At 40.6% G+C, this 26,875-nt stretch overlaps 1 protein-coding gene and 2 pseudogenes across 1 annotated transcript in view; 1 reads left to right on the top strand and 2 right to left on the bottom strand.

Moving 5' to 3' along the window:
- Positions 1 to 19,380, top strand: part of HEATR5A (HEAT repeat containing 5A) — a 128,763-nt gene extending 109,383 nt beyond the window's left edge. The window contains exons 29-36 of the mRNA NM_015473.4: positions 1,986 to 2,234; positions 3,148 to 3,275; positions 4,289 to 4,436; positions 5,991 to 6,263; positions 8,649 to 8,873; positions 15,105 to 15,259; positions 17,064 to 17,277; positions 17,556 to 19,380. Of these exons, the coding sequence (NP_056288.2) occupies positions 1,986 to 2,234; positions 3,148 to 3,275; positions 4,289 to 4,436; positions 5,991 to 6,263; positions 8,649 to 8,873; positions 15,105 to 15,259; positions 17,064 to 17,277; positions 17,556 to 17,863 (1,700 nt within the window). The 3' untranslated portion in view covers positions 17,864 to 19,380. The remainder of the gene's footprint in view (positions 1 to 1,985; positions 2,235 to 3,147; positions 3,276 to 4,288; positions 4,437 to 5,990; positions 6,264 to 8,648; positions 8,874 to 15,104; positions 15,260 to 17,063; positions 17,278 to 17,555) is intronic.
- Positions 4,568 to 4,648, bottom strand: LOC124903438 (uncharacterized; annotated as a pseudogene).
- Positions 22,804 to 25,057, bottom strand: NARS1P1 (asparaginyl-tRNA synthetase 1 pseudogene 1; annotated as a pseudogene).

Raw genomic sequence — 26,875 nt, 5'->3', positions numbered from 1 at the left:
CCAAAATGTCTTAGCTATCATTGTATTTTTACTTTTTGATATGAATTTTAGGATGAGCCTGTAAAGTTCTACTAGTTTTGTGTGTGTGTATTTGGTTGGTTGGTTGGTTGGTTGGTTGGTTGGTTGGTTGGTTGGTTGGTTGGTTGGTTTTTAGAGACAGGGTGTTGCTGGGTTGCCCAGGCTGGAGTACAATGACTGTTCACAGGAGCAATCATAGTGCACTACAGCTGGGCTCAAGTGATCCTGCCACCTCACCCTCCTAAGCATCTGGGACTATGGTGTACACTATGGTGGCCAGCCTAGTTCTATTAGAATTTTCATTGGAATTATACACAAAAAGATATATGGAGTGTTTGTTGTACTTTTCAGTAGCATAAAAATGGAAACAACATGAAAATAAACTGATTTATTTACACAACAGAAAAATGAATGACAGACATATAGCAACTGTAAGTAAATCTTAAAAACATAATGTTAAGTGGAAAAAAAATTATTTATTTATTTACTTATTTATTTATTTATTTATTTGAGGTGGAGTCTTGCTCTGTGGCCCATTCTGGAGGGCAGTGGCTTGATCTCGGCTCACTGCAACCTCCACCTCCTGGGTTCAAGCAATTCTCCTGCCTCAGCCTCCCAAGTAGCTAGGACTACAGGCGTGCACTACCACGCCCAGCTAATTTTTGTATTTTTAGTAGAGACAGGGTTTCTCCATGTTAGCCAGGCTGGTCTCGAGTTCCTGACCTCAGGTGATCTGCCTGCCTCAGCCTCCCACAGTGCTGGGATTACAGGCATGAGCCACTGTGCCTGGCCAAAAAAAATAAAGGATGCATGTAAGCCAGGCACAGTGGTGCATGCTGGTAGTCTCAGCTACTCAGGAGGCTGAGGTGGGAGGGTCACTTGAGCTCAGGAGTTCAGGGCCAACCTGGACAACATAGTGAAACCCCATCTACACAAAGAAAAAAAAGGATACATACAGTATGATGCCTTTTAAGTAAACGTTTAAACACAAAAAAAAATAGCGTATGTTATTAATGAATACATACATTATTGTGAAAGTATAAGACCATATCTAGGAGTCATTCTTACTGGCTTCAGGAAAGTAGTCATGGAAGGAGGGGCAAGAATTAGTGGTATTAACAGTTTTAGGTTTTTTAAGCAAAAAAATGGCCAGGCGCGGTGGCTCACACCTGTAATCCCAGCACTTTGGGAGGCTGAAGTGGGCAGATTGCCTGAGCCCAGAAGTTCAAGACCAACCTGGGCAACATGGTGAAACCCCATCTCTACTAAAATACAAAAAATTAGCTGGGCGTGGTGGTGCACACCTGTGGTCCCAGCTACTCAGGAGGCTGAGGCGGGAGAATCGCTTGAACCCAGAAGTCAGAGGTTGGCAGTGAGCCGACATCACGCCACTGCAGTGAGACTGTCTGAAAAAAAAAAGAAAAAAATTAAGAGAGATTTAAGAAAATCAGGGAAAATGTTAATGTTCATCTTGGAAGTCGGTAAATGGGTATTGGTATTTATTTTAATCACACATATACACATATTTTGTTTTAAAATGTTTATGATTAAATTATAAAAAGTTACTAATTAGGCTGAAAACTTTTTATGAAGTTAAAAGTAGATCAGCCCTATGACCTATCAGTTGTACTCCCAGTAAAAATAAGAACATTGATAACAAAATACTGATAACACAGCAGCATGAATGAATCTCTAAAAATGTTGTTAGGTTATTTTGTTAACAATATATTAGTCACAAATAAGTACATATGTATATGTGATTCTATTTATATGAAGTTCAAGAATAGGCAGAACTAATCTGTGCTGATAAAAACTAGAAAGTAGTTGCCTTAGGGTATAGGGAACTGACTGAAAAAGGGTACAAGGGAACTTTCGGAGTGATGGAAATGGTCTATATCTTGTAACAGAAAAAAGAGAAAATATATTGGAAGTTAATCTCTTATTTTTCCTGAAACTGTTTGCTTTAGGTGGTGCTTTCTACACAGCAGAGACTAGTGAAAATGCAAAATTGCATTATTACAACTCCTGGGCACTTATCCTCCATGCTACAGCATTGTGGCTTACAAGCACGGGTTTTGTTGTTGCTGACCCAGATGAAGGAGCATCTAATCTCTCCAGGCCTGTAACACCAACTTCCATGTGTCAGGGTTCATCATCTGGGGCTACCATAAAGTCCCCTGAGGATGTCTACACTGATAGATTCCATCTTATTTTAGGTCAGTTAAACCACTTTTACAAGTTTACAACCTTAGGGGTTTTTTGTTTTTTTTTTTTTGAGATGGAGTTTTGCTCTTTCACCCAGGCTGGAGTACAGTGGCACGATTTCAACTCAAGCTCACAATTATTGTCAACTGAAAATAAAAATATAAATAAATTACTTAAGCTCTCTGCTCATTTATGTCAGAATTAGTGTCAATAATAGTGCCTACTTTGTCAACTATTACGAGAATTTAATAAAAAGATGTATGTCAAAGCACAGTGATACTTGGTAATCACCCAGTAAATTTTAGCCAAAGTAAAGTTATGAAACTCCATATGTTTTCCGGTGCAATTTTATTGTAATTTTTGCAGCTTTGAACTGTTTCATAGCAACTAAGCAACTAGTGCACAAGCCTAGTTTAGATTTTTTTTTTTTTTTTTTTTAGACAGAGTTTTGCTCTTGTTGCCCAGGCTGGAGTGCAATGGAGCGATCTCGGCTCACCGCAACCTCTGCCTCCTGGGTTCAAACAATTCACCTGCCTCAGCCTCCTGAGTAGCTAGGATTACAGGCATGCGCCACCATGCCCAGCTAATTTTGTATTTTTAGTCGAGACGGGGTTTCTCCATGTTGGTCAGGCTGGTCTCAAACTCCTGACCTCAGATGATCCGCCCACCTTGGCCTCCCAAAGTGCTGGGATTACAGGTGTGAGCCACCATGCCCGGCATAGATTATTTTTTTTGTACATGTAGATAGAAACAGACTATTAAGTGACTTGTCATTTAATTGTTTAGTCTTAAATTCATTGTGATTTATTTGTATTACCTTTTTACTGTTTGTTTATATATCTTACCAAAATATAAGATTAATTACTTAATTTCATAAACTAATAATTTGAAAGAAGCCTCCTCCTCTTTTTTTGCTTTCCACAGGAATCAGCGTGGAATTTCTATGTTCCTTACGTTCAGATGCAACCATGGAAAGCATAACTGCTTGTTTACATGCATTGCAAGCACTTCTAGATGTACCTTGGCCCAGATCAAAAATTGGCAGTGATCAGGTGATTTATCTGGGGTTTTTTTTGTAAGGCTTCTGTAGTCTTTAAGGAAGAGAAACATGTTCAGGTTTCTATAGTTAACAGAAAGTAAACACACAGAAATTTTTTTTCTAAACCATACAGCCTCACAGCTAGGCCTTGGAACCAGAATGCCATAAGCATATGTGTTGACCCAAAAACAATCATGCCTCTTACTCTGCCGCTTTTCTGTCTCTGCTTCTTTCTGCAATGATGGGAGGGTTCTATATTGCATTGTCCAGGACAGTAGCCACTAATTACATGTGGCATTTATTCTTTGTCTCTTTTTGCTTCTGCATACCCTGCTTTTTGTGTATATACCTGTATCTTATATTCCATTCCCCAAGAGAGAATCTAATGGGTTCATGTAGTTACAGTCCATTACAAAGTATTCCTGTTGGCTAAGTTCTCCCCCCAGGTCTTTTTAAGAGATTGCTGGCTAGCCTACAGGTGGAGTCAGGTACTAATATCTGACTTGGGTGTGGCCATGGGAAAAGGGTTCCTGTACAAAGTATGGTACTTCTCTTTGAGTGCTTTTCTCAAGGGCAAGTATGCATTGGGCAGATACTTTTGATATCAAGTTTTATCAAGTAGATTACTTTTGTTATTGACTCTTGGATGTTAAGATAAGTGAGTAGTATAATTTCCTCTGCAAAGACTGTCTATTATTTAAGTGTTTAATACTAACTTTTATTAGGTTTAAAGCATTAATCAGATTGAGACAGGGTTTCACCATGTTGGCCAGGCTTGATCTCGAACTCCTGGCCTCAAGTAATCCACTCACCTCAGCCTCCCAAAGTGCTGGGATTGCAGGCATGAGCCACTGTGCCCGGCCTCTGGAGTTGATTTAAAATGGAGCGTTACTTAACTTTATTGCACTAAAGCAATTTGTTACATTCTGTTTTTCTGAATTTTGTCATGGCATTTAGCATTGGTATTTTTTACAAAAGAAATGTATAATTTCTAATACAGTGTCCTGTACATGATTTCCATGATAGGACTTGGGTATAGAATTGCTGAATGTTCTACATCGAGTAATTTTAACCAGAGAATCACCTTCCATTCAGTTGGCTTCACTTGAAGTGGTAAGGCAGATTATCTGTGCTGCTCAAGAACATGTGAAGGAAAAAAGACGAAGTGCAGAAGGTAAATGTTAACCTTTAATGCCGAGTTGATCAAATAGCATCATTCTTTTGTAAAGTATTATTTAATGTATCTATATAGTTTTGATAATCTTTTGTGTGTGGTACAAATAAAACATGTCTAGGCATGGCCTTATTTTACTTTTTGTGCTCTACACATTGAGAGAAACTTCCCTAGTAATGAACTATAGAAATGATCCCTGAAAGTAGAGTCTTTAGGCATGGCTTTATTTATTTATTTATTTATTTAGTGAGACAAGGTCTCACTCCAGTTGCCCAAGCTGGAGTGCATTGGCACGATCTCGCCTCACTGCAGCCTCAACCTCCCAGGCTCAGGTGATTCTCCCACCTTAGCCTCCTGAGTAGCTAGGGCATCAGGCACATGCCACCATGCCTGGCTAATTTTTTCGTATTTTTTATTAGAGACGGGATGTGGCCATGTTGCCCAGCCTGGTCTCTCGAACTCCTGGACTCAGGCAATCCACCCACCTCAGCCTCCCAGAGTGCTGGGATTACAGGCATGAGCCATCATGCCTAGCCTGGCATGGTTTTAAATCTTCTCATTCACCTCTACATGTTAGTTTAGATATTGTCAGTAGTTAAATTACTATTCTCTGGGTGAAATGAGAATTTTAACAAAACCTGGAAGAAATAAATCCCTTACGCTACTAGAATACTTGCTTTAGCTGTGTTTACCAACGTGCATGGAAAGAACTTATGTTTGCAGATTGCTCATTTACAAGTCTAATATGGTATTGGAGAGTTTACCACTTAAGATTATAGTTGGCTACATATTATAGAAAACCCAATATAACAGTGGATTTAAACCCCAAAGATTTATTTGCTCATCTAAATAGATGGCCAGAGATAGGCAGTCTAGGGCTGACATGGCACCTTCTTAAAGACATTAAGGATGTGACTTTCTGTCTTTCTGTCCAGCCACCATCGATACGTAAGGTCACATGGTAATTTCTGGAGCTCTAGCTATCAGGTTTACAGTCTTAACAGCAAGAAGGAGTTAACCAGGCAATATTGTAAGGCTGACAGGATTAAAAAGACTTCTTTTGAGCAATTGCAATAGGAAGTCATAATAAAGATGATTACTTTTACCTTCATAACTTCTTTCTCCCTCAGTCTTTAACACCCAAAATTTAGTCATTAAATGTATTTCCTGGCCGGGCGCAGTGGCTCATACCTGTAATCCTGGCACTTTGGGAGGCCGGGGCAGGCGGATAGCTTGAGGTCAGGAGTTCGAGACCAGCCTGACCAACATGGTGAAACCTCATCTCTACTAAAAATACAAAAATTAGCTGGGCATGATGGTGCATGCCTATAATCCCAGCTACTTGGGAGGCTGAGGCAGAAGAATCGCTTGAAACTGGAAGGCAGAGGTTGCAGTGAGCCGAGATCATGCCATTGCACTCCAGCCTGTGTGACAGAGCGAGACTCTGTCTCAAAAAAATAAAATACATGTATTTCCTGTAACAGGATTTAACTAAATTGCCATCTACCAGAAGCAGAGCAAGCACAAAGTATTAAACACTATTCTTTCTTTTAGTTGATGATGGGGCTGCTGAAAAGGAAACTCTGCCAGAGTTTGGAGAGGGAAAGGACACCGGAGGACTTGTGCCTGGAAAGTCTTTGGTCTTTGCAACACTGGAATTGTGTGTATGCATTCTAGTTAGACAGCTCCCAGAATTAAACCCTAAATTGACAGGTAGCCCAGGAGTAAAAGCTACGAAGCCACAGATACTATTAGAAGATGGAAGTAGATTGGTTTCAGCTGCATTGGTTATCCTTTCCGAACTTCCTGCAGTGTGCTCTCCTGAAGGTATGCTGTGGTATGTGATTGCTTGACTTGACCTAGAAGAGAAATGGTTTTAATAGATAATGGAGTCTAGTTGCTAATCTTTTTCTTTTTAAATGAATGCTGACCCAAACATTTGGGTATTGTCTTTAATCCTCTAAGATTAGGATTACATTTTAATAAATTGTTTTACTAAAAGTAAAAATATAGAGGGCTAGGCGCAATGGCTCACGCCTGTAATCCCAGCACTTTGGAAGGCCAAGGTGGGTGGATCACCTGAGGTCAGGAGTTCGAGACCAGCCTGACCAACATGGTGAAACCCCATCTCTACTAAAAATACAAAATTAGCCAGGCATGGTGGCACATGCCTGTAATCCCAGCTACTCAAGAGGCTAAGGCAGGAGAATCGCTTGAACCCGGGAGGCGGAGGTTGCAGTGAGCCAGGATCACGCCATTGCACTCCAGCCTGGGCAACAAGAGTGAAATTATGTCTAAAAAAAAAAGAGAGAGTGAAAATATAGAGATAGCAAGTATTATAGATATGCTCTTCTATGATTGACAGTACTTCTGACCAGTCAGTGGCAATTATTAGTGCTTGGGCATGTTTTGGTATACAATTTCTAACAGACTTTTCCTGCCTCAGTGATGGCACAAGTTTGTCATTGTATCTGGTTCTGTTTGGAATTGACTCCATACTCTTTTTTGTTGTTGTTTTTGTTTGACACAGGTACTTTCTCTGTCACCTAGGCCGGAGTGCAGTGGAACAGTCATAGTTCACTATAATGTCAAACTCCTGGGCTTAAGCAATCCTCCTGTCTTGGCCTCCTGAGTAGTTAGGACTCAGGCCTGTGCCACCATACCTGGCTAATTTTTTTTTTTAATTTTTTGTAGAGATGGGGTCTTGCTGTGTTGCCAGGCTGGTCTTGAACTCCTGGCCTCAAGTGATCCTCCTTCCTTGACATCCCGAAGTGCTGGGACTACAGGTGTGAGCCACCATGCCCAGCAAGTCCATACTCTTTAACATAGCATTTAAGGTTCTCTGTGTAGCTCTGCTAATCGTTACCTTTTTTCAGTTCCTTCTTTGCAAATCCTAAACCCAAGAGGCTTCATGTTCATCCTTGTTCTGTGCTATCGTGTCGTTACTTGATCTGAAATGACCCTTATCTGCTTTTTAAAATTTTTCTTCATGGTTCAACTGCAGGCCTACCTCATGTATAAAGGCTTCCCTAAAAACTCTAGCTCATCTGAGTTTTGTTTTTTCGTGTATATGCATGTGTTATTTCCATATGTAGGTCTGTAGCTTGTATCTGTCCTACAGAGGCATTATGTGTAATTGATTATTACATATAAAAGAGAAATGTCTTGTTTCCAATTAAATCTTGTATATTCTGTGAAATCTAGCAGATTATAGGTATTTAGTACCTAGTAGATGCTTCTTAATTGGTAAACATATTTCTGCTAAAGGTGTTTTTTTGTTTTTTGTTTGTTTGTTTTTTGAAATGGAGTCTTACTGTGTCACCCAGGCTGCAGTGCAGTGGCGCGATCTCAGCTCACTGCAACCTCTGCCTCCCGGGTTCAAGCAGTTCTTCTGCCTCAGCCTCCCGAGTATCTGGGACTACAGGCGCGTGCCACCACACCCGGCTAATTTTTGTATTTTTAGTAGAGACAGGATTTCACCATATTGGCCAGGCTGGTCTCGAACTCCTGACCTCATGATCTACCCGCCTTGGCCTCCCAAAGTGCTGGGATTACAGGCATGAGCCACTGCACTCAGCCACTAAAGGTGTTATTTTTTTGTTAGTTGGTTGGTTTTTTTTTTAGACAGGGTCTCACTCTGTGCCCAGGCTGGAGTTCAGTGGTAGAATCTCAGCTCACTGCAGCCTCAACCCCCTGGGCTCAAGCAGTCCTCCCACCTCAGCCTCCTGAGTAGCTGGGACCACAGGCGCACACCACCATCCCAGCCATTTTTTTTTTTTTTTTTTTTTTTTTTGTAAAGATGAAGTCTCACTGTGTTGCCCAGGCAACATTGTGAATGTACTTAATGCCACTGGACTGTACACTAAAAATGGTTAAAATGGTAAACTTTATGTTGTATATATTTTACCACAGTAAAAGATAAATAAAAATAAATTCATTTATCGACTGCCAAAGAAAACAAAAACAGCATAAGCATAATGATACTCACACAATTTATTTAAACGTAATCTCCAGTTATAACCATCAAGATTTAATCCATCCATAAAAATTTTAATAAAGCTACTTACATTATCTTAACAGTTATAATTCTTTATTAGAAATCATCTTTTAAAAACTGAAAATCTGACATTGTCTTACTCCTTGATGATTTCTTTTTAGAAACCATATATATAGGTTGAAATCCAGTGTGTTTTTAAAAAATGTATCTTACAGGAAGCATCTCAATTCTCCCTACTATATTGTACCTCACAATCGGGGTCCTCAGAGAGACTGCTGTGAAGTTACCTGGGGGCCAGTTATCTTCGACAGTTGCAGCTTCCCTACAGGCTCTAAAAGGAATATTATCTTCTCCCATGGCCCGGGCAGAAAAGAGCCGTACTGCTTGGACTGACCTTCTCCGAAGTGCCTTAACAACAATTCTTGACTGTTGGGATCCAGGTAATTGAGGCTATTTGGAAGCAGTTCAGTTTGTCTTAAAAAGTGAGAAGAAGAGTTTTTTGAGGATAAGATATTTTACTTGATCATATTTGGCCATATCACCTAGAGGAGACCATATTCAATACTATGTGTTTAGAGGATATGTATAAGTAGATAGAAAATTGGCCGGGTGCAGTGGCTCACACCTGTAAGCCCAGCACTTTGGGAGGCCAAGTCAGGTGGATCACCTGAGGTCAGGAGTTCAGGACCAGCTGGGCAACATGGTGAAACCCCATCTCTACTAAAAATACAAAAATCAGCCGATTCTGGTGGCACATACCTATAATCCCAGCTACCCAATGCTGTCTCAGCTACTCCACTGAGACAGGAGAATTGCTTGAACCCTGGAGGTGGAGGTTTCAGGGAGCCAAGATCACGCCATTGCACTCCAGCCTGGACAACAGAGCGAGACTCTGTCTCAAAAAAAAAAAAAAAAAAAAAAAAAAAGAAAGCTGTGTTCTGGGGCCAGGCACGGTGGCTCACGTCTACAATCCCAGCACTTTGGGAAGCCGAAGCTGGCGGATCACTTGAGGTCAGGAGTTCAAGGCCAGCCTGGCCAACATGGTGAAACCCCATCTCTACTGAAAATACAAAAATTACCCAGGTGTGGTAGTGCACACCTATGGTCCCAGTTCTCGGAAGGCAGAGGCAGGAGGCAGGAGGATTGCTTAAACCCAGGAGGCAGAGCTTGTAGTGAGTAATAAATAAGGATATTATGTTGCAAGAAATTATTAGAGCAGTAACTTAATATGTGAAACGCATCTCACTTATTACCTGGCATATATCAATAAATGATAGCCAGTATTATTTTCAGCATCCATTAAAACTTGTTTTTCGTCGGGTGCAGTGGCTCACACCTGTAATCCTAGCTACCCAGGAGGCTGAGGCAGGAGAATCACTTGAACCTGGGAGGCAGAGGTTGCAGTGAGCCAAGGTTGCGCCACTGCACTCCATCCTGGGGCACAAAGCGAGACTCCATCTCAGAAAAACAAACAAACAAAAAAACTTGTTTCTCTTTTTTTCTTATTTTTATGAGGTTTTTATTTTCACTAGTGTGTTGTAGTGATTATAAAAAGTCTTTAGACACAGTATGCATTTTCCCTGCCTTCCCAGTTTTGTTTATAAATGTCACAATTTGCCATATTTCATTTTACATATAAAATGTTTTCAACTGCAGTCAGCATTTATTGACCACCCACTTTGCCCAAAGTTGGGAATCTGGTGGAGCCTGGCTCCTATAAATTGCCGTAGGGTGTGATTATTACGTTAAGAATTTCCCAAAGGCAATAGTAATGTCTTAATTATCGCTGCATTTCTAGTACAATAAAAAAAAATTCTAACTGGTTTTTTTTAAAAAATGGGAGTAATTAGTACTGTTTAAGTGAAATCAGGCAGAGTGTCACAAGTAGGATTCTCTAAAAGTACTCACCAAGAGGGAGTTTGGGGAGCAAGAAGTTTATTAAGAAACAACATCTGTGAAGGGAAGAGGGGAAGGCAATATTGGGCAAAAGAAGTCAAACTGTGACAGTTTCCCAACAAATCTCAGTAAATCTGTCTGAGGAGCTCTGGAGCCAGATTGCCCATCAGAGTGTCTTAACATATGACAGAAATGGCCTGGACTTCAAATGTGGACTGCTCCAGGAAGGATTTGATCTCAGGTAAGACAGCCATCTCTAGCTGAGACTGATCCGGAAGGAGCTGACCCTTGATCACACTTCCCACAGCTGGGCAGCACATTCTCCCTTGAAGGGGATCTCTCGGTGCATCTCTGTATCCACCACTAGAGGCTTCTCAGAAGAGTCAACGCCTTAAAGGATTAGAAAGTTTTCTCCACATGGACATCATAGAAATGGATTCTAGGAATCGCTTGAACCCGGGAGGTAGAGATTGCCGTGTGAGCCAAGATCACACCTCTGCACTCCAGCCTGGGCAACAGAGCGAGACTGTCTCAAAAAAAAAAGAAAAAAAGAAAAAGAAATGGATTCTAGGTACAACAGTTTGACCAAAAACTTGGAGAATTAAATAGCTAGGGAAGGCAAGTAGAACAATGAGGGGGTGTGGATTTGGATGGAAGAGTGTGTAAGAGTCGTGAATGGCAATTAGTAGGGAAAGAAATGAAGTTGGATGGTACATGGGGCCAGATTATGGAGGGTCTGGCATGATTTGGACTGCCTTTAATAGGCATGTGGAATAATGAAATGTTTTGTTGTGGTTGTTGTTGAGTTGGAGTCTCGCTCTGTTGCCCAGGCTGGAGTGCAATGGTACAATCTCGGCTCACTGCAACTTCTGCCTCCCAGGTTCAAGTGATTCTCCTGCCTCAGCCTCCTGAGTATCTGGGATTACAGGTGCTCACCACCAGGCCTGGCTAATTTTTTTTTTTTGTATTTTTAGTAGAGACGGTTTCACCATGTTGGTCAGGCTGGTCTCGAACTCCTGACCTCGTGATCCGCCTGCCTCAGCCTCCCAAAGTGCTGGGATTACAGACATGAGCCATCATGCCCGGCCGAAAGGGTTTTTTTGTTTGTTTGTTTTGAGACGGAGTTTTGCTCTTGTTGCCCAGGCTGGAGTGCAATGGCGCGATCTTGGCTCACCACAACCTCTGCCTCCCAGGTTCAAGCAATTCTCCTGCCTCAGCCTCCCAAGTAGCTGGGATTACAGGCATGTGCCACCACGCCTGGCTAATTTTTTTTGTATTTTTAGTAGAGATGGGGTTTCTCCATGTTGGTCAGGCTGGTCTCGAACTCCTGACCTCAGATGATCCGCCCACCTTGGCCTCCCAAAGTGCTGGGATTACAGGCATGAGCCACTGTGTCTGGCCACGAAAGGGTTTTAAAAAGGAAAGTAATATGCTTGGATTTGCGTTTCTAAAGGTTCGCTCTTGGCAGCAGTGTAAAGAAGAAAGCCAAACTGTGGGAGATAAGATAATAATAGTATGGACAAAAAGGATTAAAATGATGAAAAGTAAAATGTTAAGCAGTTTTCAACAGAACTTACTGATAGTTTGATTTAGGAGTTGAAAGCGTAGGATGACTTGAACACTCGAATGTGATTAACAGAAATAACCAAGTGAGGGTTATTTCAAAAGTAGTCTGGGCTAGAGATACTTTCTGGACTATGTGTGTATTTGGGAGCTGTCAGTGTAACCTATGGGACAATTGAAATCACCCAGCTTGAGTTTCTGGAGCAAGAAGAGGACCAAAATCAAGGTTAGAGGAGATTCAGAAGATAACGTAATTACATAAGCCAGTTTTTAATAAAGAGGGAGTGGTCAGCACTATAAAATACTGTAGAGAGGCCAAACAGTGTGGGGGATAGAGCTCACAGTGGTGAGGCACAAATGAGAGGTGTAAGGCATGGGAAAGATCAAGTATAGGCTTCTCTTCACAGGAAGAAGAGAAATAGCTAAATGGAAAGTGTAAGGTCAAGGGATAACTTTTTTTTAAGGTGACATTCAAGCATGAGTTCATACTTAACGGGGGAAAAAAAGGAGGTGGACATGGGGTTGGAGATAGAAGTATTAGAAAGGAAAGCAGCGTCCCTGTCTAGGCAGAAGGAATAAAATTTACAGCACATTTAACAGGATTGACCTCTGCCAATATGAGGAAAGAACAGCAGGTAAGGATGGAAAATAATATTATAGCTACAAGTTTTTATGTTGAGGGCTGGCCAGTGTGGCTCACTCCTGTAATCCCAGCACTTTGGGAGGCCTTGGCAAGAGGACCGCTTGAGGCCAGGAGTTCAAGACCAGTGTGGGCAACATAACAAGATACTGTCTCTACAAATAATAATAATAATTCATGTTGAGGTTTATGATGAGCTTGCTTCTTTCATCTCACACACAAAAAAATGGGTTGTGTTTTGTTGTTGTTGTTTTTGGATGTGTATCAGGGAATTAGGCTAGGACAGGATTTAGACTAGCTACTAAGAGAAATTAAGGAGTTGGTCATGACAGGTTAAATGTTTCCTGCCCAAAAAATTGCCTCAAAACTTAGTGGCTTAAAAGAGCAAACACATATTATATTATCTGACAGTTTCTATGGGTCCAGGATTAGGAGCAGTTTAGCTATGTGGTTCTAGCTTAGGTTCTCTCATGAAATTACTGTTAAGGTGTTGGCCAGGGCTGCAGCTAGAGGATTCATTTCCAAGATGACTCATTCATATGGCTAGCTAAGTGAATTGTGCATCTATCCTAGGTAAAAGAGAGTAGGAATAAAGATATTTTAGAAGAAATGGTAAAAGGAACCCAGGAGAACTTTATCTTGCTGAGAATAAAGACATTTTTACTAAACAAATTAGCTGACTCTGTTGCAGTTTCAAGTTGCTATAGGTGGTTAAAAATAACTTTGCTGTAAGGGAAGCAGTATAGCATTATAGTTAACAGTACACTCTCTGTAATCAAGCTTTCTGCCTTACTAATTGTGTGACTTGGACAAATGACTGAATTTGTGTTTCTTGTCCATAAAATGAGAGATAATAAGAGTACCTACCTCATGATGCTGTTATGTTGATTAAATATTTAATGTATATAAAGTGCTTATAACAGTGCTACATGTTAACTTTAAATATTAACTGTGTACTTATTTTACCTTAAAATCACTCAGATGTCTTTTATAAAATAAATCCTATTCATCCATAAAATTTTGCTTTCACTGCTACTGTGCCTCTTGAGTATAGTCAGCTCAGGTATTATCTCCTCAAGGCTTTCTCTGATCACCCAGGATAGGCTGTCCTGAGCTACTTTGAATGTTGTTTGTTTGTTTGTTTGTTTGTTTAAAGAGACAGGGACTTGCTGTGTTACCCAGGCTGGAGTGCAGTGTCTATTCACAGGCACGATCATTGTGCACTGCAGCCTTGAACTCCTGGACTCAACCAGTCCTCCCACCTCAGTGTCTCAAGTAGCTGGGACTATAGACACACACCACTGCTCCTGGTGTGATGTTTGTTTTGTTTTGTTTTGTTTTGTTTTTATTGAGACGGAGTCTCCCTGTGCAGCCCAGGCTGGAGTGCAGTGGCGTAATCTTGGCTCACTGCAACCTCCGCCTCCTGATGTCAAGTGATTCTCCTGCCTCAGCTTCCCGAGTAGCTGGGATTACAGTCATGCACCACCACATCTGGACAATTTTTGTATTTTTAGTAGAGACCGGGCTTCACCATGTTGGCCAGGCTGGTCTCGAACCCCTGACCTCAAGTGATCCGCCTGCCTCAGCCTCCCAAAGTACTGGGATTACAGGCCACCGCACCCAGCCAGCTTTTTAATATATTTTTATATGCTTAGACCTTATCACTAGTTGAAAGTCTTTGCTTCTCAGCTTATAGTGTATCTTCTCTATAAGATGTATTCTCTGTGCCTAAAAGAGGGCTGGCACACAGTGTTTCTTAAGTCTTGTTGAATGAATGTGACCAAAACTACTACATATGTCATTTCTTCATAAGTATCAACCCATTCTTAAACAATTTAAATATTTGAATTTGCTACATCTTTCTTTTTTGAATAACAGTGATTTTTTTTCCACAGCAGTTTCATTAAAATTATTTAATGAGAGTATGACTAGAAAATAAAGGTAGATTACTTCTAATAGAAAATTCCTTCAAATGATTGTGGCCTACACAGCTGTTTTCAGGTTTTTCTCTACTCTTGAGAAATCATATTTGTAAAGTGCTAACGTATTTTCACTTGATACATGTATTATAAAAATACTTTAACAAAGAGAAAACAATTGTGCAAGCATTTCTGTGTTGCTTCACAGTAAAAATAATTAACATGATAAGTAGCATATACTGAGCGTCATGTGTAGCATACTATTCTAAATGCTTCACATGGATTAACTCATTTAATCTTCACAACCCTATCAATGTGAGTACTGCTGTTATTCCCATTTTACAGATGAGAATACTGAAGATGGAGTTAGATGTCCAAAGTCACACAACTAATAAATATGTATTCCTAGTAAATGTATGTATTTATTTACTGATGTCTTAACCTTTAAAGATTATAATTACTTTGGTAGTTCTTAGCTCTAGAATTACTTATAATGCACATCTTAAAATGTACCTTTGCCAGGGTTCTTAGTCAGCGTTCATTGTGTGTATCTGTTGTGTACACCAAACTGTTACTACCAAACTGAAGACAGCTTCACACAGGTATATAAAGCAGTAAATATGAACTGTTTCTAATAGAGCATTTCTCTTTAGTTGATGAAACACACCAAGAACTTGATGAAGTCAGTCTACTTACTGCTATCACAGTGTTTATTTTGTCTACCAGTCCAGAAGTAACTACCATCCCATGCCTTCAGAAGCGCTGTATTGATAAATTTAAAGCTACTCTTGAGATAAAAGATCCTGTGGTAAGTGTCTTTTAGCAGAAAGATGTATGTAATAGGACAATGGCTAGGCCTTTAGAAAATTTTCTGTGTGATTTTGTTGGCTCCAATAGGAAGTATTAGACTACAATTTTTTTATTTTTAGATTTAAGATTAATTTCTATTTCAGGAGTGACAAAGCCAAATAACAGTAGTCTTGTTCTTCAGCCCTAAGGGTAGAGCATAGTGGCAGAAGAGGAAATGTTAAGAAACTGAATTTGAAGTGGAGGAATCTTAAGATTGATGTAGCACTGGAACTTTATAAGGGACTTTTATAAGATACTTTGTAGCATATTATAGTGGATTTTATTTAAAAAAAAAAAAAAAAAAAAAAAAGAAAGGGAGGCCAGGCACTGTGGCTCATACCTGTAATTCCATCCAGCACTTTGGGAGGACGCGGTGGGCAGATTGCTTGAGGCCAGGAGTCCGAGAGCAGCCTTGCAGCATGGTGAGAATGCATCCCTACAAAAAATACAAAAATTAACCTGGTGTGGGGGAGCAGGCCTGTAGTCCCAGCTGCTCTGGGGGACTGAGGCAGGAGGATCACTCGAGCCTGGGACCTTGAGGCTGCAGTGAGCCACGATCATGCCACTGCACCGCAGCCTGGATGACAGAGCCAGACGCTGTCTCAAAAAAAAGACTCCAGCACATACCTTCAGTAATATGAATGTGAAATAACAGGACCCATTCCAAAAGCAATACACACAAATTTATCCCATTCTTTTATGTCCCCTTCATTTGCTTGAGTAATGTCCTATTTTTTATGTGCCTCTAGGTGAGTTCATAGCCAATGATCACACATATATCTACTCCTGAAGATACAGGAACCAGATTTTCTCTCAGAAAAAATAATTATTAAAATACCATTACAGTTAACTCAATAAAAGTTTATTTATATCTTTGATGTATAGTCATTTCCTTTTATCGTCTGTCCTGTTGCCTGCTGCCTGCAGCAGCTTTGTATAGCAGTCTCCAAGTCGGGACTCTGATGCCTGATGACACATTAGTATGGTCCAGACGTTCCTTGAAACACTCAGACCATGACATTTGAACATCAAATACATCATTTTTGTCTAAAACATTTTCTGAAATCAACAAAATATCTTTCAAGGTTGTATGTGTTTTGTTTTGGGTGTTTTTTTGTTTTGTTTTGTTTTGCTTTCTACCCATAAAAATGTTAGGAGGTTGGGCACGGTGGCTCATGTCTGTAATCCCAGCACTTCGGGAGGCCAAGGCAGGTGGATCACTTGAGGTCAGGAGTTCGAGACCAGCCTGACCAACGAGGTGAAACCCCGTCTCTACTAAAAATACAAAAAATTAGCTGGGTGTGGAGGTGCACGCCTGTAGTCCCAGCGACTCGGGAGGTTGAAACAGGAGAATCACTTGAACACAGGAGGCAGAGGTTGCAGTGAGCTGAGATCACACCACTGCACTCCAGCCTGGGCACTCAAAAAAAAAAAAAAATGTTACAGGAGGGGTTTTGGTGGTGTTTTTGTTTTTTACATTATAGAGAAAGACATGAGGGGGAAAATGGGAATTAGAGAAAAGAAGAAAAATTAACACTCAGCTTTGCTTCCCTGTTTACCTATATGCCTCTTTCCCATTCCAAACTGTCACAACCACTGTTAGCATAGATGTTTGATTACCTGTTGGCCCTTGGACTTTCAAAATTAAACACAAATTAGAAATAAATTTAAATACCTTCACTACTTTAAAAAGCAAAGAGTCCTCAGGGACTTTTTAAAAATTTATTTATAGTATTTGCTATTCTTTTCTCTTACCTTATTAGGTACAAATCAAGACCTACCAGCTCCTACATTCCATCTTTCAGTATCCAAATCCAGCTGTTTCCTACCCATACATTTACTCTTTAGCATCCTGTATCATGGAAAAACTGCAGGAAATAGACAAGAGAAAACCTGAAAACACTGCTGAGCTTGAGATCTTCCAAGAAGGCATAAAGGTCTTAGAAACACTGGTTACTGTTGCTGAAGAACACCATCGTAAGTGTCAGCACTAAATTCATACTCAGTCTCAACAAAAATCAGAATTTTACTGTTATTTAAATTGCAAAACAATCAGTCACATTATATCTGTATTTCACATTCATTGAAAGGTGTTATGTTAATCCCAAGTATTGATATTATTTAGTATTAATTTAGAAGAGATTGGACGAATTGTTTTCTTTAGTGGGGAAAAATGTATACAGATCAAGTGCATTTGCAGGCTTTTGTTAGAAACATTTATGTCACTGAACTTATATTATTTGTTTACTTTCTAGGCGCTCAGCTGGTGGCCTGTCTTTTGCCCATCCTCATTTCCTTCCTTTTGGATGAAAATTCTCTGGGATCAGCAACTTCCATAATGAGAAATTTACATGACTTTGCTCTACAAAATCTCATGCAAATTGGACCTCAGTATTCATCTGTTTTTAAAAGTTTAGTGGCTTCTTCTCCAGCCCTAAAAGCCCGCCTTGAGGCTGCTATAAAGGGCAATCAGGAAAGTGTCAAAGTCAAGATACCAACATCTAAATATACTAAGAGTCCTGGAAAAAACTCAAGCATCCAATTAAAGACCAGTTTCCTCTGATTTTTTTTTTGGAATAGTAAGCACCTTAATATAATAAATACTTGATCATTGCCTTTGGTGACAAAAGGGACATTGTAGACACAAGTGCCCTTAGAGGTCTAGTTGATTGTTTTACCTTAAATAGCTGTGACTCTTCAAAGTAACAGCATACTTAACATTTTTGTGTGTGTGCGTGGGGTTTGTGTTTTGTTTTGTTTTGTTTTTCTATTTAAAAAGACAATGGAGCTAACTTGCCAGGAATTTTAAGAAAGTGCTAAAGAACTAAACTTACTAAACAATCCACTGCTTTAAAAATGAAATGAATTTCTTCTAACAGTCCATACATATGTGGTATACTTAATACTGTGACAGATATAAATATGACTCTAGTGTAAATTATCTGCACTAATATTGTATCCCAATTGCTGATTTAAAATTCTGCTTTGGCCCGGCACAGTGGCTCATCCCTGTAATTCCAGCACTTTGGAAGGCCAAGGCGGGCGGATCACGAAGTCGGGAGTTTGAGACCAGCCTGACCAACATGGTGAAACCCCGTCTCTACTAAAAATACAAAAATTAGCCGGGTGTGGTGGCACACACCTGTAATCCCAGCTACTCAGGAGGCCGAGGCAGGAAAATCGCTTGAACCTGGCAGGCAGAGGTTGCAGTGAGCCAAGATTGTGCCACTGCACTCCAGCCTGGGCGACAGAGTGAGACTCCATCTAAAAAAAAAAAAAAAAAATTCTGCCTTATTCAGTAATTGTATTAAACTTTCTCTGATTTCTCCAAGAAGATAAAATGATTGGAGAGCTATTTAGGAAACCTGGTCTAGGATTATCCAGTATACAATAGTACAAATTACTTACAGCCTTACAGTGCAACATAAGATTTGGTGTCTATATCATGGTTTTCCACCATCTTTTGGTTTAGTTTATATTGGGTTCAGAAATTGAGTCTTACTCATTTTAAATAGAATAAGCCATTTCCACTATTTTTCAAATGGATTTTTCTGTTTACCTCTGTTCTTACCAATTTTGTTCATTTTCATTTGTGGCAAACATTTGTATCAATGAGTTTTAACCTAGGTTCATATCTACATTGTATTTAGATCAACTATGGGTTTATATAAATGCCAAATTTAGTACAACAAATTTAGGTCATCAGGTGAATACAAGTATTTTTTTTAACAGGAAACATTTTATTATAGAAAAAAGATTAATGATAAAGTCATATTGGTTGAAAAATATTTTTTAACTGTGTTCATGATTGTTGATTCTCCTTCTACTTCAGTGTTATACTGTGTGAATCAAGCACTGTGTCAAAACAGAGCATTTCCCTCTTAAAAATTACAAACCGAAGTGATAGAAGCATGTCAGAATTGAGAAGACATTTTGAAGCAAGAACAATGTGATGTACCTATTTTATTATGTTTGTATATAAATACTATTGTAAATTGTTCAGAGTGAAAACATTTGACAAACTCTAACACTACAATCATTTTTTCTAAATTACATAAATAAAGCTAATTTTCATTATCATTCTTGTATTTTTAAATTATTTTACCAACAAAAGATGGCAGGTTGGTTTCTCTCACATGGATTCCAGAAAATCAGCCTTTTTTCTCAGAAGAGCCCTTTCTTTGGAGCATTATTTGTGATGGTTTAGATTCTCTGTCTCTTCCTAAGTGTCTCTAGGCATTGAGTGTATATTTATTGTTCCCTTTACCTAAAATGTCCTTTTCTCTCCTGTCTTCTGTCTGGTGATTGCCCACTCCTTTTAGGCCTGGCTTAAATATCACCTTTCCTTGGTAACTCTCCTTAACACTTCTTAACTTCCTCTTACACCAATTTAACTGCTTCCTCATCTGTGTTTCCATAGTGCTTAATACATTCTTGTATGCATAAAAAATCACATTGCAATTTGTGGTTTGTTTGTTTGTTTAAGCCAAGGTCTTGTTCTGTTGCCCAGGCTGGAATGCAATGGTGTGAACACAGCTCAGTGCAGCCTTGACCTACTATGCTCAAGTGATCCTCCTGCCTCAGCCCCCCAAGTAGCAGGAACTACAGATGTGTGTCTCCAAGCCTAATTTAAAAATTTTTTTTGTAGATATGAGGTCTCACTCATATGCTGCCCAGTCTAGTCTCAAACTCCTGAGCTCAAGCTGTCCTCCCACCTTGGCCTCCCAAAGTGCTAGGATTATAGGTGTGAGCCACCACACCCAGCTCACATTGCATTTTAATATTATCTTGTCTCCCTCTTAGACTGTACCACTTCATAGGGAGAAATTATGTCTTCTGTAACTTGGCTCACTTAATAGCTATTGAATTGCACTGGTACAGGATGGATGAGGACTCATAACTTCTTTGCCAAGGCAAATGCTGAACTAGGTTGTTCTCAGGATGTAACTAATTAATTTGACTTAGGGATTTTAAAAAAGTGTTTTGTCTGTTTTAGCTGTTTCATTTAGTTTGCTCTTACACATTAAGATTTCTACTCAGTACTCTAGTATCCTGAATTATTTGGATTAAAGGTGCTTATATGAACGTCAGTAATTAGGAAAAAAACCTTTTATGTCCAGTGTAATGGAATTAGGAAATTTGAGCTACTCTTAAATGTATCTCCTTAAATCGCCTTATTTAATACAACCCTGAACTATTAAATGTATCTTTACTGATAATGAAATTAAGGCTTAACAGCTGGGGTTTGAACTCATCTTTCTGATCCCAAGCATTCATGCTGGAGACAGGAAAACTGGCAATCCCGATTCCATCAAGGTATAGCTTTTCTCCTCTTTCAGCGCTCCGGGCTCCCTCAGGAGCCTTCCTCACTCTTTGTTGAAGATATTTTCAATTACATTTCTCCAAATTACAACTAAAAAGTCTTTCGCTAATAGAATAGGGGAAAAAGTTTTTTTTTAATTATTTTCTACAGCAGTTTCTTTTTTTTTTTTTTTTTTTTTTGAGATGGAGTTTCGCTCTTGTTGCCCAGGCTGGAGTGCAATGGCCTCTGCTTCCCAGGTTCAAGTGATTCTACTGCCTCAGCCTTCCCAAGTAGCCGGGATTATAGGCATGTGCCACCACATCTGGCTAATTTTGTATTTTTAGGGGAGACGGGGTTTGTCCATGTTGGTCAGACTGGTCTTGAACTCCTGACCTCAGGTGATCCGCCCGCCTCGGCCTCCCAAAGTGCTGGGATTACAGGCATGAGCCACTGTACCTGGCCTGCCCTCTACAGTTTCTATGGGAATAGATTATATGCTTAGATATTAATGAGTCTAGTTGTAATAAAGCAGTTGCATATTAATTAGCTTGGTAACGTTACAAATTAAAAATGTTGATTAGCAACTTGGATGAAACCATCAAAATGGTATAATATTTGTCTTGAGCTTAATTTTTTTTCTAAGAGGAGAAATAGAGACAAAGCTACTAGTTAAGTCATTCTATTTAGCCCATTGCTTAAAAGCTTATGTAAAATAACACTGGATATAACACCTTTCTGTTAATAAAATATTGAGTCTAAATTTTATATAAAACAAACTTCACCGTCAACTTAAGGGAACATTAAGGCCCTTGAAAAGATATAAGTAACTACTATAAAAGAGGTATGATGGTGAGGTTTGGGCTTAAAATTTATTTATTTAAAAAAAAAGTTGGCCGGGCATGGTGGCTCACGCCTATAATCCCAGCACTTTGGGAGGCCGAGGCGGGTGGATCACAAGGTCAGGAGATCAAGATCATCCTGGCTAACACGGTGAAACCCCATCTTTACTAAAAATACAAAAAATTAGCCGGGCATGGTTGCGGGTGCCTGTGATTCCAGCTACTTGGGAGGCTGAGGCCGGAGAATTGCTTGAACCCGGGAGGCGGAGGTTGCACTGAGTCAAGATTGCACCATTGCACTCCAGCCTGGGTGACAGAGCGAGACTCTGTCTCAAAAAAAAAAAAAAAAAAAGCTATGAGTATAGCGCTAAGGGAGCCCAGAGAAGAAAACTGGAGCTTCCAAGATCAACTTTATGGAAAGTATCATATGATACAGGCCTAGAGAATAGGACTTAATGGAATAGATACATAACTCAAGAGTACTTTTTTTAACCAATATTTAAAATTGTTTAATTATATATATATAATCCCAAAATTATGGCCCATTATTAGATAAAATGCTGAAATGTATTCCTAACTACAGAATTATGTACCACATATTTCCCCAAAACTTTGTTTTTTGTTTGTTTTCTGAGATGGAGTCTTGCTCTGTCGCCCAGGCTGGAATGCAGTGGCGTGATCTCAGCTCACTTCAACCTCCACCTCTCAGGTTCAAGCAATTCTCCTGCCTCAGCCTCCCAAGTGGCTAGCATTACAGGCGTGCCCCACCATGCCTGGCTAATTTTTGTAATTTTTTTTTTTAATAGAGATGGTGGTTCACCGTGTTGGCCAGGCTGGTCTCAAACTCCTGACCTTAAGTGATCTGCTGGCCACGGCCTCCCAAAGTGCTAAGATTACAGGGCTGAGCCACCACACCCAGCCTGGGCTACTTTTTATGGTATTAGGAATAAAAAAGAGAAAATGGAAACAGTTTTACCCCAGTGGAACAAGAAAGGGAAGATTCTGGCTTTTTATATTTGGGGGTTTTTTGTTTTTGTTTATTTTTAAAGAGGCAGCCTGTTTCTTTCCTGAACCATATTGTTTCTTTTATGCTTCAGAAGTAATCAGTTATGGCCTGCAGCACTGGACAAATCAATGGTATAAGCATGCATCTTAGATGTGATAACTTCAGAATCCAAGAGAAGAATCATCCCAAGGGCTGGACACAGTGGCTCACACTTGTAATCACAGCAATTTGGGAGGCCAAGGCGAGAGGATCTCCTGAGCTGAGGAGTTTGAAGTTACAGTAAGCTATAATTGTGCCACTGCACTGCAGCCTGAGCTACCAAGTGAGACCCTATCTTAAAAACATAATTTTTTAAGAAGAATCATTCTAGGCCCAAGTCATATCCTCCATGATGACATATACCATATTTTCTCTGATCTGTATTCCAGTAATAGGGAGTAGGGTCAATCCCTTCCTTTTTATAAACCTGCAGGCATTTCTTCATTATCCCAGATATGCATTGATCCTCCCACAGTCTCACCAACATTCAGCATCAACACACTGACAGATTCAGTAAGACAGGAATGCTCAGGATGTCAGTGCATATAGAAGGACTTGATCACAGGAAATCAACACAGCAAGATTGGTTCATTAATGGTGTTGTCATCAGTCTCAGGAGCTTTTGGGACTTTTTCTCCAAATTCCCAGGAAGTTCCATATCTTTTCTTTATATTGTGTTTTAGCCACACCATAGCATCTGTTTAAAAGGCCGTTTGGTGGGCTTAAAGTAAGGGTTCAGGTTATATATTCATTGCCAGTGACTTAAAGACTACCACATCACAAACCAAGCCCTCCAATCAGTTCAGGAGGCCCTCAAAGGTCAGAAAAGGGCACCCAGCTTCCACATGAGTGTATTCAGCCAAGTGCCTTCAAATTCTGGATGCTCTGCCCTGTATGACTGTGCAATACAAAAAAACATCTAGGGCTGGAATGCATGTCTCCTGGTACAACTAAGAGAACTAAGTCAAAAATGTCTCTTCATGGGCTGGGCACAGTGGCTCACTCCTGTAATCCCAGCACTTTGGGAGGCCAAGGCAGGTGGATTGCTTGAGCCCAGGAGTTTGAGATTGGTAACAACAGGAGGTAGAGAAACTCTAGGCAGACAACAGCAGGTCCCTGATGAAGCCCCACCCTCGTGGAAAAGCCATGGCCCAAAGTGAGAACTTCTATCCCTGTTTTCCCACTCAAATGTTGCCTTTTCCTAAACCATCCATGGTCCACCCCCCATCCTGTGCCTATAAATACCCCAGACTCAGCCGGCAGAGAGGAGAAGCAGCTGGACATAGGAGACTACAGCTGGACATCGGAGAGAAGTGGCTTAACTTCAGAGTAACAGCTTGGTGACATAACTTTGAAGAAGAATCTGGCCAAAGACAGCTGGACTTCAGGGGAAGATTACCTACCCCCATCCCCTTTAATCTCCCCTTCCCACTGAGAGCCACTTCATCAGCAATAAAATCCCCCACACTTACCATCCTTCAATTTGTTTGTGCGACCTCATTTTTCCTGGATGCTGGACAAGAGCTTGGGAACCACAGGCGCGGAAACAAAAGGGCCCACGGACCTGTTAACACCTGAGCTGTCCATGGACAGCAGAGCTAAAAGAGCACTGTAACATGCCCTCTGGGGCTTCAAGGGTTGTGGGCACCACCTCCCCAGTCATGCTATGGGGCCTCAAAAGTGCTCACCCCAGCTCCTGCACATGCTCACCTGTGCACTCCCTCCCACATGGGGAGGAATGCAGCAGGTCCAAGTGAGTGGAGTTTGCCCCTGCTGGCACCAAAGTGAACAGCAGGTTCCAGCACTCGTGCACTCCGGTTCCCACCTTGTTCACTCACATGCTCCCTCCCATGAGGAGTCGAGAGCTATAGGCTGAGTAAATGAGGCACCCCTGTTGCCAATCCCACGAAGAGGTCAGGGAAATATCCCGCTTCAAGACCAGCCTGGAAAACATGGCAAAACCCCATCACTACTAAAAACACAAAAATGAGCCAGGTGTAGTGGCACATGTCTGTAATCCCCATTACTTGGGAGTCTGAGGCACAAGAATCGCTTGAACCTGGGAGGCTGATATCACGCCACTGCACTACAGCCTGGGTGACAAAGCAAGACACTCTCTCTCTCAAAAAAAAAAAAAAAAAGAAGCCTCTTCCCCCAAATAGTCGTTTGAAGAGTGTAACACCAGTCTGGGTAACATAGTGAGACCTGGTCTCTACTGAAAAAAGAAAATCTGCTAGGCATGGTGGTACATGCCCATAGTCCAAGCTACTTAGGAAGCTGAGGTGGGAGAATGACTTGAACCTGGGAGATGGAGGCTGCAGTGAGTAATGATTGCACCAGTGCATGCCAGCCTGGGTGACAGAGTGAGACCCTGTCTCAAAAATAAAACAAATAAAAAAAGTGTAGCACCACCTTCTGCTGGTATTTGCACTATTTTTGGAGGAGTAACGTCACAGTACCCCCATCAAAGAAGTGATCTCTAAAGCACCTGGTGGCCATGGATCGTGCTTTTCAGAGTTTGAACATGTTTTCTCCGAAGATCATCATGTGTCTGTTGATCTGGATGTCAACAGCAACCAAGAGTCTTGTAACATTAATTTTAAGAGAAGAATTATCTTTTTTGCAGCATCCTAAAGAATTCCCTTTATCTTTATTATAAGATTTTTCATTACGAGGGAAAAAATTCAGCCCTCAAACTACTGAACTATTAAAAAACCCACTAAACTATGATAATGTTAATGCAAAATTGAAAATATTTGAAATAACTGTATATTCTTGAAAAAAAGTACAATACTAAAATGTTGTCATTTTGGCCGGGCATGGTGGCTTACGCCTGTAATGCCAGCATTTTGGGAGGCCGAGGCAGGCCAATCACTTGAGGCCAGGAGTTCGAGACCAGCCTGGCCAACATGGTGAAACCTTGTTTCTACTAAAAAAATAAAAATTAGCCATGTGTGGTGGCCCACACCTGTAATCCCAGCTACTCGGGAGGCTGAGGCAGGTGAATTGCTTGAACCCAGGAGGTGGAAGTTGCAATGAGCTAAGATTGCACCACTGCACTCCAGCCTAGGCAACAGAGTGAGACTCGGTCTCAAAAAAAAAAAAAAAAAAAAACTTGTCGGTTCTGGTAGTTTAATGATTGCCTTGCATTCTGTCATTTCTGGTGGTTTAATGATTTTGTGTATGTATCTTTCCAGAGCCCATTACTATTTATAACTATAAAATCAAGGTAATTATATATATTGCATCTTCTCCATCAATTGAATATACTTTCCTCTTTACAAATAATTTGTTAGCTCTTTTTTTTCTTTTTTTTTGAGACAGAATCTCACGCTGTCATCCAGGCTAGAGTGCAGTGGTATAATCTTGGCTCACTGCAACCTCAGCCTCCTGGGTTCAAGCAATTCTCCTGCCTCAGCCTTCCAAGTAGCTGGGTTACAGGTGCCCATCACCACGCCCAGCTAATTTTTGTATTTTTAGTAGAGACGGGGTTTCACCATGTTGGCCAGGCTGGTCTCGAACTGCTGACCTCAAGTGATCCACCCGCCTAGGCCTCCGAAAGTGCTGGGATCACAGGCATGAGCCACCACACCCAGCCTAATTTGTTAACTCTTGCAAGACCTCAATTATTCAGGAGAAATTATCTCTGTTTGCTAGAAATATAGTTATCTAACGGCTGGCTGGCTGGCAGTGATCAATTAATGAATTATACCCATGTTGGCCTATCTGTTTACCAGCCTATTTAATTGATGTCTGGGCTAGTTAGCTTTGAGGAAATTTTGTATTGTGATATAGAACTGGAACATATCCAGTATAGACCACAAATACAATCCAGGTTGCATAAATTGAAAAGTGTAGCTTCCTTTAATTGTTTTTCTCTTTTGTTAGGACTCCTGCGCTATCAACTGGGGCATTATAAAATTATAATTCCACAGTCTACTTGAGGAAAATTCCTGTGTCCACATATCATCCTTTAAGTAGAGAGTGTATTTCAAAAAATTAACATTTTTAAAATGATTCTTACTATTCCAAGTATTCTGTATTTTTTGAGATAGTAAGAAGTCATAGGCTGGGCACGGTGGCTCACGCCTGTAATCCCAACACTTCGGGAGGCCGAGGTGGGTGGATTACTTGAGGCCAAGAGTTTAAGACCAGCCTGGCCAACATGGTGAAACTCTGTCTCTACAAAAAAATACAAAAATTAACCTGACGAGGTGGTGCATGCCTGTAGTCCCAGCTACTCAGGAGGCTGAGGCAGGAGCATCACTTGAACCTGGGAGGTGGAGGTTGCAGTGAGCTGAGATCGCGCCACTGGGAGACAGAGCAAGACTGTGTCAAAAAAATGAAAACATAAAAATGAAAAAAGAGGTCATTGCTGCCAATGAAAAA

The sequence above is a fragment of the Homo sapiens genome, chromosome 14, assembly GCF_000001405.40.
Source record: "Homo sapiens chromosome 14, GRCh38.p14 Primary Assembly".
NCBI classification, from domain to species: Eukaryota; Metazoa; Chordata; class Mammalia; order Primates; family Hominidae; genus Homo; species Homo sapiens.
Note: the sequence above shows the minus strand (reverse complement) of the source record. Positions and strands in the feature narration are given on the sequence as shown.